The sequence below is a fragment of the Homo sapiens genome, chromosome 6 (assembly GCF_000001405.40).
Source record: "Homo sapiens chromosome 6, GRCh38.p14 Primary Assembly".
Classification (NCBI taxonomy): Eukaryota; Metazoa; Chordata; class Mammalia; order Primates; family Hominidae; genus Homo; species Homo sapiens.
The window spans coordinates 69,388,370-69,399,344 of NC_000006.12; the positions used below are offsets into that span (position 1 = coordinate 69,388,370).

Here is a 10,975-nt window from a genome sequence, read left to right on the forward strand (position 1 = left end):
GACTTAACTCTCCTTCCTACTTCAACATATGGTCATACTGACAATTCACAACATGCCCCAAACAAAACATCGCCTACTTTGCCTTCTATACTACTGTTCACTTCCTTTGATTCCTAGAAAATTGTTGGGTAACTAAGAGAAGGTATTCATCAGTTTGTTCAATGAAATAAAACTAAAATCAAAACTATTTCCCACAGTTGGCCGTATTTTCAAGTCATCTCTGCATCACAGAAACTGGATTAAGATTACAAACACGCTCTCTTCCTGGAAACTTCAACTAGCGGTGATCCTGGTCATCACATAAATGACTCTCTTTCCCTCTCTTCTCAACAGGAAAACCCCGCACCAAACAAGAATCCATGGGACACTTTCAAAAACCCCAGTGAATACCCGCATTACACCACAATCAATGTCTTAGACACAGAGGCAAAGGATGCTTTGGAACTGAGGCCAGCAGAGTGGGAGAAGTGTCTGAATTTGCCTCTGGATGTGCAAGAGGGTGACTTTCAAACAGAAGTTTAAAAAAATCAAAATGGACTAAGGTAGAGACAAAACTTTATTGCACTGACACTTAAGACTTGGGAAGCCTGACATTTCTATCTGGACAGTGTGACTATCTTATGTCAGGACCTTCATGTGCCAAACGTCAGTGGTGTTTTCATATGGTAACTTCTCACTAGTCAGGCTAGTGGAGAGATGACCAGGTGTACAGTTCTGACCATCCTGTGTTGTAAGTACCCGTGGAATGGATTTGTAAGGTAATCTTTATAGATAAACCTCAAGCAACGATTCATGTTGTAACCGCTTCATATGGTTTAGTTTTCAAAAAACTTCACCATGAAGCACAATGTATATATTTATGCAGTTTTTAAAGTTTATAACAGTCTGTTTGGCCATTACTACACTTTTTACTTTATAATATAAAAGCAAAGTTTTTGTCATTAAATGAATGTTTGTTGAGCTACATTCTTCATTGCTTTAAATGCAATAAAGTAATAATCTCACTTTTATATGAATAATATATTTCACATCTTTATTATTGCAGTTTTCTCTAGAAAGCTCTGAGAAGCTTTCTCTGCTGCAGCTGTGTATAAAATATTTAAAATGTTGTATGGTGTAAATAAACTTTTGTCTACATATCAGTTTTTTAGTGCATTTTATTTTGGATTTGTTGACCAGAAATTTACATATTTATAAAGTTTTTTTTCAATACAGATACTAAAAATGTATTCACGGTTTTAATAGCATACTATTATTACTCCTTTGAGGCTAATGATTTCTCAAATGTAATAATAGGTTTATATAGTGCTTCTGTATTTTCTACTCAAACATTCTTTGGAACGATGTACCATGTAAATGGGGCTTGTCAGAAATCTGCTGCCATCATACTCTTACATAAATATTATGTTTTTTTCTATCTTGTGGCAAACAGATAACTAGTAGAAAACAGTAAGTTTCCATACAGAAAATAATACAGGGAAAAATGTTAATTTTAAGTAATGAAGTCCACTGCATGTTTCACAAAGGAAACTACTCATACTACAGTTATTCATCGCATACAAAAAAAAGAACTTCTTCAGGACTTTAAAAATTTTTATCTATATAGTCTCTAGCAAAAGGAAAAGGGGAGTGGATGTATTTGATTAAATGATTTGTCTCTGGTTTGAAAGTGGAAGCCTGAGTTGAGCCAAATGCACAAACAGTCCCTAGTGTCTTCTCTTGTGTTAACGCCACACTGGAAATTTCCCTCGCTCCCTCAGATACACATTAAAGGAAATACCAGGGGGAAGGATTTTAGCAGTTTCTTGGTCATTTCAATGATTTGAGATGTGGTTTTTTAGTCTGAGGCAAGTGAGGGGGGTGGAGAGGAGACTGGGTTCTTCAAAGTTCCTAAAATGTGTATTTAGATGAGTCTGTGGTTAAACCTGAGCTGTGTGGTCTTCTGTGGTCTGCCCCAAACTCAAGTGAATCAGTTCCTGCTCTTCACGACCTTGGGGATCCGGCACTCAGGCCATGAGGCAGAGACTACGGTGCTTCAACATTCAAGTGCGCCTCTAAGCTAGAGCCTTAAAAACCACACAGCTCAGGCTGAACTCCTGTCAGATACTTATAATGTTCTCAATGTCAAGATGTTAAAAGTATATTTTTCATCAGATTTTAAAAATAAAAGCAACATCGTTATGCAAAAATATAACATAACTAAGGACTGATTTTTCAATAAAATAAATTTTATGCTAATTATAATGTAATTGTATAGCCTATTTATAAGATGACTTTTTGCTGATAGGAATAATATTTGGCAAATCTCTCCCTCTTAGTCTCTGTTTCTCTTTCTACATATATACATATATAATATACACATATGTGTATGTATATATGTATATATCTCTATATATGTGTATCAATCTACATATATATATATAAATCCATAATGCTCAGTTTAATCTCCGTTACCTATAACTGTGAATGCAGACCATGTATGTGGTCACCCATTCCGCACTGTAAAATCTTGAAGGAAAAGAAACACACTAAGCATATGTTTGAAAAAATACAAATTCAATATGTTTAAAAACATATAAATTCAATACATTAGCTAATATTTCTTCTACAGATTCACTACCGTAAAATAAAATCTTATTTTTTTACTTTGATTTTTCTTTAGTTCTAGTAACTCCATATTAGATGTATATGTGAAAGCTGTCCAGAAATTGCACACTTAAGATTGTTAGAGTGGATTTTTTGGCTACTCTAAGAAGAATGGCGAGTTGTGGCGTGGTGTTTTTTGTTTTTTAATCTACAACAAAAAATGCAGGTGAATAAGTCTCAAGGAATGATAATTTTAAGGAGGCCGTTTTCTGCTCCATTCCTTTTAAGTGTTCCCTGAACTCCCTCTCTCTCGTGCACCCACAAACACACAACACCCGCACACATACATGCACACATTCTTCCAAAGCTGAGTCACAGCTGTCCCCTTAGGCAGGGGGGCATATATATTCCAGCCTGGCCCACTGCACTCGTGACTGGCCAGAATCTTTGTGCCCTTCCACTAGAAGTTCTTCTTTTTCCTTTATGTCTAAATTTTACTTGTGCTTTAAGGGACAACTCATATTTCATTTCCATAGTTTTTCATAATTTTCCTCCAAGCTAGAAATAAGTTCTCCCCTGAACTCTCATGCCACTGTTTCTGTACTTCTCTTAGGACTTTTCAAATATTCTATCTTGTTATTTACATGCATTTCTGATATCCTCTGGTGGACTCTAAGTGCCTGGAGGGCAGGAGTCATGTCTGATCCATTTTATATTTCTTAAGGGACTTAGCACAATAATGTTCACACAATAAATGTTTGTTGAATTATTTGTGGAATTTATTTTAGTATTGCTTACAGTGATACACATCAAGTCACACACTCATAGGTATTTATTGAACAACTATTAAATTAAATGTTTATTGCTATTTTAAGCAGTTAGGGTACTATAGAGTCTCTGAGGCAACTCTCAGTCTATTGAAGATATAAGATACATATGTGAAACAAGTAATGTCCTTAAAATATGGAGTAAGATTAATTATTCTAACGAAATGGAAGCTCAGAAGAGTTTAAGTGTCCACCAAGGATCACCATAAATAAATGGCACGCCAATATTAGAGCCCAGGTCTCGTGACTCCTACCCTAGAGATATTTTCATGACAACATGGTGCTTCTACTTGTTCCTTTTGGATTATTAAGTCCCCAAGTCAAACAATAACAAGTTATATGGAAACATTCTCAGGCAAGGAATAGAGGCGTAAAATTGAAAACATGCATCATTGTTCATGGTGGTGGTGAGGCTAGTGGCTGATTGTAGCAGAAAAGCATAGCTAATCCAATATAAATTTCAAGCCAACTTCAATTTTCAGATTGTCTTCAGACTGTGTAAAAACACAGCCAATTTTTTTTATTATTATTATACTTTAAGTTCTGGGGTACATGTGCATAACGTGGACACAGGAAGGGGAACATCCCATATCGGGGCCTGTCGTGGGGTGAGGGCAAGGGGGAGGGAAAGCATTAGGAGATATACACGCAGCCAATTTTTTAAAAGTCAGTCAAAAAATCATTGCTTTAGAAAGTTGAATCTGTAAATTTTGAACCATTCGCTGCTTTAGTTTTCCAGGGTTATCCATGTCTCTAGCATGTCAATTTACACAGTTTTTCATGGTGACAAAATCATCCTGCCCCTGAGATGCTTCTGTAGTTAGATTTGTAACTGGGGTAGTATGGCAGAAAAAGGCTGTCAGAACCAAAAACTGTAGAATGTAGAGATGAGAGAAAGCTTGGCAATCAATGAAAATGGTGATGATTTTCAGGTGAAAAAAAAAAAAATCCAAACTTAGGGAAGAAGAAATTGTATTTGAAAAGACTGCTGCAATAGAAGCGGGTATTGCAATAGGGAGTGCACTCCGACTGTAATATCTACAAGCATCTCCGAGTTCAGGCAGAAAGGCTTTTCTTTAATACCGAGGTAAACAGGAAAAGAAAAAGCTGGGTACCAGAGCATTGGGTGAGTAGGTGTGGTGATCAGGTATTTGAGCAGGAAACGTCTTCTTTGTGGTTAGCCAGTTCTGAGCGGTACGGTGAGGGGTGGTAGCTCTACTTTCCAGTGCTTGGTTAAGCTCCCAACACTTGTTTAAATTCAAAGGCAGTCCAAAGTTCTAAGTCCTGGTGAAAGCAAGAAGCCTGAATTAGGTTTGGTCAAGTTATCAAATATTATTTTCAGATTGGTTAGCAGGGACAAACAATTCAGCTAGTAATTTCCAAGATAAAAAATAGGAATTTGGAAGGTTTGTGTCTCACTTTGTTATAGTGTTTGTAAACAAACAAGGGATTCATCTATGAGGTTTATCTAAGTAATATGGAGAAGAATGGGTGTTTGTAGTGAGTCATTTCTGGAAACACAAAAAGGTGGGAAGTTTTTTGACCCTTGCTGCTTTTCAAGAACACAGGTAAAGTTCATTATCACAGGTGAGTCCACTGGAATAGGAAGAATTTTTCAAAAATTGTCATTGGTGTTCAGCCAACAGTGATTACAAGAAAGGATTTTTCTCATAGTAGACAAATAGTAGTGGCTTTTTAAGCAGAAATAACTGCAAAGTAAAAGTGTAAATATTACAAGCTAGATGAGAACATTTAATTTTAATGCTGAGCTTGCCAATCATCTCTTGGGTTGGACTCCTGCTTATAAAACCTGGCACTCTGGTTTGTAAATTTGTCCTTAAAATGTCATAACATGAGTCCATAAGCCTGGTGCCAAGGGTCAAAGCAAAAATTGCACTGGACTTGGCTGGGGATGTTGGCTCACACCCGTAATCTCAGCACTTTGGAGGCCTAGGTGGGTGGATTGCTTGAGCCCAGGAGTTCAAGACCTGCCTGGCCAACATGGAGAAACCCCATGTCTACTAAAAATAGAAAAATTAGCCAGGCATGTTGGTGCACAGCTGTAGTCCCAGCTACTTGGGAGGCTGAGGTGGGAGGATCACTTGAGCCCAGGACGTGAAGGTTGCAGTGAGTGGTGATAGTGCCACGGCATTCAGCCTGGGCCACAGAGAAAGACTCTGTCAAAAAAAAATGCACTGGACAAAGTTACACATGCAAAGAAGACTTTTAAAAGCCAAATGCAATAGAGGAAAGAAGCCAGAACTCAGTCTGAGCTCTAAGAGATGGAGAGGTTTTAAGAGCTGGGAAGAGACTAGAGGATTATAGGTCACCTGTGTTTGTTCATTGCCCTAACCCAAAACAAGCATAAACTTTCAGGTATCTTTATGATAAGAGGTAGTTTTACTTTTGAAGCAAGTTGCCTGCAGAAGTTAGGCACTTACCCTCTTACAGAAACTGGAAGATAAGGACACGCTTCCATGAAGATTTCAATAGAGATGGCTCCAAGGTCCTTGAGAAAGACTCCTGGGCTATAAAAGTAGCAAGGAGTTTTGGATTTTTTGGTTTTTGTTTGTTTGTTTGTTTGTTTTTGTTTTTGTTTTTTTAATTACATCTCAAGGAGGCAGATAAAGATTTGCAAGTTTTCTAAATGAACAGCTCTAAGAAAAGGGAGGTCAGGAAGAAGACTGTCTAAAGTTTAGTCAAGTTGAGGAGAATGTCAAAGCATTCTTGGCCACAAGTAAGCTAATAGACTGGCACCTCAAAACCAACTAAATTGATAAGACCCATCCATGGGCTCAATCAGCTAGAGGACAGTCACCTGTCCCAAAACACCCAGCCAGAAACATCTGGCAAATCTTACCCTTACATAAAAGCAAATGATTCATTGTGAAAATGATTCTCTCTTAGCAACCACCAATGTATGAGTCTCAAAAGCCTCTTGAGGGGTTGCTGAGTACACCTCCCTTCCCACTATCCACTAACCTCCAGGAAGAAAGGCGAGCTCGCCTTTAAAAAGGGATTTTCAACAAAAGAGAATAATCTCAGTAATTAGAGTCGAAGGTTAGCCTTTCAATTTCTATTCTTTTATTTTACCAGCTACAAGTGTGTATCAATTTTTCAGATTAATTCCTAAACTAGCATTATCCTGTTTCCCCTCTCTCAAAATTAGAATTTCACTTCTAAGATTCATAATGAATTTTATACATAGAATGGAATATAATTTTATGTAGCAATTATGTTGTGCTTTATCCTAAAGTGGACTTGAGGTGGTTTATAAAGATACATACTTTTTTAATACATCCAACAAATATATATTCAGAATTAGCTGCAGTCTAGATACTGTGTTAGAAGTGGGTGATGTGATATTGAACAAGACATGGTTCCCATTTTTAAGGGACTTAGGGTCTCTGAGGTCATACAGACTGACAAATCAAACTGTAAGAGTTTGATGGATTTATGTGGAAAATAAATAAGGGCGTACTTATTTATTTCCAAGAACGGGCATTGATACAGGTTGCTAGAAAATAATAGGAAGGACAATCAAGGTGATACAGAGGCTAATGTAGTACCTAAAATGTATGCCTCGAGGTCTTAGACTTTTCCCTGGAGCTTTGCCAAGTGATGACCTTGAGCTTCCTAGCAACCAATGCAAATACGGAAACTACATTTAGTTGTGTAGTTCACAGTGCCTCTAAAATAAAAGCCAACATTTCCTCTGTAGAAACAGAAAACCAAGAGGTGCCTCTTGTTAACCCTCATGCTTCATTCCACGGTAAATTTTTTATCAATAACATTCTTATAAAATCTCAGAGTTTTATAGAGATGCTTCTTATGTTCCTTCTTGAAGGGTAATGTGGTGGTGTATTTATGTGTCAACTTCACAAGGCCACAGTAGCCAGATATTTAGTCAAATAGCATTCCACATGTCACTATGAAGGTATTTTTTAAGATGAGACTAACATTTAAATCAGTAGACTTTGAGTAAAGCCGATTCCCCTCAGTACTGTGGATGGCCTCATCAAATCAGTTGAAAGCATTAGGAGAAAAACACCGAGGTCCCCTGAGGAAAAAGGAATTCTGCCTCCTGACTGCCTTCAAACTACAGCTACAACAACCACCCTTTCTAGAGCCTCCAGCTGCTGGCTTGCCCTGCAGATTAGGGACTTACCAGCCCCTACAATCACATGAGTCAATTCTTAAAGATACATCTCTTTCTGTATATATGCACTTATCCTATCTATCCATGTTTCTCTGGAGAAACTTGGCTAATAAAATTAAAGGCTTTACATCCAAGTACCATCAACAGAAACAGTTTTTCACAGGGTCAGTACAATGTGCTACATGTATAAAGCTCTCTCATGGTCTGGCTGAATAAAAGAAAAATAGTAGAACATCTATTCTACTTCAAGAACTCACCCAAGAATAGGATTTCTCAAAACAGAGGTTTAGGTAACAATTTTAAGCTTTCTGAGTGCTTGTAAATACTTTCTTTATAAATGTTTATTTAATCCTCATAAGAAATCTATAAGGCATATTCTATCATTATTTTCATTTTACAAATAAAGAAACTGAGGTACATATCTTCTCCAATATCACACAAGGTAGCAAATGCCAGAGCCAGAATTCATCCTCACTGCTTAGTTTTACAGTCTAAGTTCTCAACTACTCTGCTGAAGAGTGAATAATTTTTAGTCTGCAGAAAGTTTAAGGTTAAATTCACTGGTCTGGCAGGTATTTGGATTGAATTAAGATTAGATCTGCATGCCTCATTGTCTGCAGAACCTTGCATAGAAACATGGTATCCAGAAGGCCTCTCCCCCTCCGTGGAGAAGAATGTTGAAGAATTGCCAAGAACTTCCTCAGAACACAAGTTTGGGTTTAGTTCAACATATAGGAGACTGAGATCCCAAAGTTGTGCATCATAAAACATGGAAAGAATAACTTTTGCTTAGAGAATATGATCTTCAGTTTACTAAAGCATGCTGTGTCCACAGAAGTGTTCTTTTTAATTTCAATATTCATGAAACATCTAACTTTTAAGTGATGGAATTTTCCAGTGACCTGTATAGGATAAACTGGCTGCAAAATATAATCCAAAGTGACCAGTATTAATTATCCAATTAGATATGCACTAAAAATTATGATTAGAGCTTTGAAATTGTGAATTGAGAATCATACATCCAGATAATGATTATATCAGAGGATAAGATATGTCATATGGCTCTATTATTTCATGACCATAAGATCATGTTATAAGAGGAAGGATGCTACAGGAGATATGTTTTTCTTTCTCTGAGTTGTGGTGAGGAAGCTAATATATCCAGCTCATCAAGAAGTAGTAGCAAGTCATTAATGGGAAGAGAAGCTAAAACACAGCTTTGTTTTGTCTCACTGTGAATTATCCAGAATTGGCCCCTTGGAGGGATCATTACCACAAACCTGGACACTCAAGGTAAGATTAAGACATAGGTTATGTATAAGCATATAAGCTGGAGAATCATAAAGGTGAATAAAAGCTGCTGATAGTCTTAGGTTTTTTGGTTTTGTTTTTTGTTTTCCCTCATAGAATTTCCATCAAAGTGAAAAAGAGCATAATAATAATCAAAGAAGGATTAGCTGTGTTCCCAGAGCTCAGTAGCATTCTTTTCAAATACTGTCCTGAGAAGCCCAGACTTGATTTTTTGTCACTGTAGGAAACCACTATGAGTTTTGGATGAAATGTCTCACAACTAGTGAGTAGTTGCAATTTTAAAAGGAGTAGCATGCTTCTAAATTTTTTTATTCTTAAAAATAAATTTTATTCTAATAACTTTTTTTTTTTTTTGAGACAGAGTCTTGCTCTGTCACCAGGCTAGAGTGCAGGGGCACAAGCTCAGCTCACTGCAACCTCCACCTCCCGAGTTCAAGCAATTCTCCTGCCTCAAGCTCCCGAGTAGCTGGGATTACAGGCAAGCACCACCACACCCAGCTAATTGTTGTATTTTTAGTAGAGACGGGGTTTCACCATGTTGGCCAGGATGGTCTCAATCTCCTGACCTCTTGATCCACCCGCCTGAGCCTCCCAAAGTGCTGGAATTACAGGCATGAGCCACTGCACCTGGCCCATCTAATAACCTTTTTCAACATTAGCCCTGAGCAGGATTAATAATAATTCTGAGGATACAAATGTCAAATTTCTCAGATATGTTTACAGATAAAGTTTTGTATCTTATATAGATTTATAGTGTATAGTTGTCATTTGAGTTATGTAATCAGACTGATTTGAATGGTTTTAGATATATTTCTATACAAGCTCTGACCATCTGATGCCTTTAATAAGAACAGCAAAGTCTATGCCAGGTGGTTCTTGTGCCTAGCCTGGGAGGGATTTCACATGGTTGCTCCTTCCTGATCCTCCTCTTCATGAGAGCAGAGGGACATTGAGCACGGGAATCATCTGTTGGGGTCCTTCTCTTGCTGTCCAGCCTTCCTAGTGACTCAAGTATCAGGAAAGCTGAATAAAGAATGGAGCAAATTCATGACAGGGCCTCCTCCTCTCTTAGGGTCTTCAACCACCTCATGACCTCCATGGACAGATTCGGCTGCCACCCTTTCCTAAAAAGAGGGATACTCCCACAAGTCACTTTCAGCAAACAGCCTCCACAACAAGGCAGTTCTGCTGGAAACTTTTCTTCCCTTTTGTTTCAGAATCTTGGAGCATGACCAGCTTTTAGGCAATTATCCATTTCCTTTTCACTTCCGGAGTTCTTTATATCCATCCTCTACGCAGATAAATCATATCAGATGACCCATCCAATTGGAGACTTTGGATAAAGCAGTTTATTTGCACAATCTCACTCTTGGTCATTCCTCAGACAGGTGAGAACTTGACCCACTTTTCTTCATGGAGAGATGCAAGTATAAAACATGACACTAATTATGCTTTGAACTGAGGCTCTCCAATTATGATCATGTCTCCCAATTTTACTAACCCATGTACTCATTTGGCAGGAAGCCTGTTTGCTAAGCTCCCTTGAAGAGAAAAACATGAGGGTGCATATGAAGCTGTACTGGGGCTGGTTAACTCAGATGGTGTGGTGCTCATGATGGAGCACCAGCCTCAGTATGAGCCCAGCGCTATTCTCTTGCCGCAGAGAAAAGGCATGGAGGAGAAGGCCAAGACAAACCTCTATCCCTGCCAAGTTCAGCAGTGAATCAGAGAGTACTTCATAGAAATCCATTCTGTGGCCTCCTGAACAGGGACCAGGCATTCATAATCAGCACAGTTTATTTTAATTGAGCAGCAGATCATTTATCTGATGACAAAAATTTTATTAGGATTTTCAGAATGCTTGAATTATAAGTACAGTGTGGTCTTTTTTTTTTTATATTTTTATGAGGGTATCAAAAGCATCAGTTCCTAGAGGTTGTTATATATCTATCTATATATAAATTTTTTAAAAGGTAATTCCATGAAGTGTGCTGCTATTATTGTGGAGTAGCCAAGAAATTGTTCACCAAGTATACAGATTTCTCAGGAACCCAAGCACAGACCCTCTGCCTGAATATTTACCCAGCATGTT

The 10,975-nt window shown here is 37.8% G+C and overlaps 1 protein-coding gene across 1 annotated transcript in view; it reads left to right on the plus strand.

Annotated features, from left to right (window-relative positions):
- ADGRB3 (adhesion G protein-coupled receptor B3) overlaps window positions 1-1,137 on the plus strand; it is a 754,225-nt gene extending 753,088 nt beyond the window's left edge. Inside the window, exon 32 of the mRNA NM_001704.3 lies at window positions 334-1,137. Within this exon, the coding sequence (NP_001695.2) occupies window positions 334-522 (189 nt within the window). The 3' untranslated portion in view covers window positions 523-1,137. The remainder of the gene's footprint in view (window positions 1-333) is intronic.
- The last annotated feature ends 9,838 nt before the right edge of the window (window positions 1,138-10,975 follow it).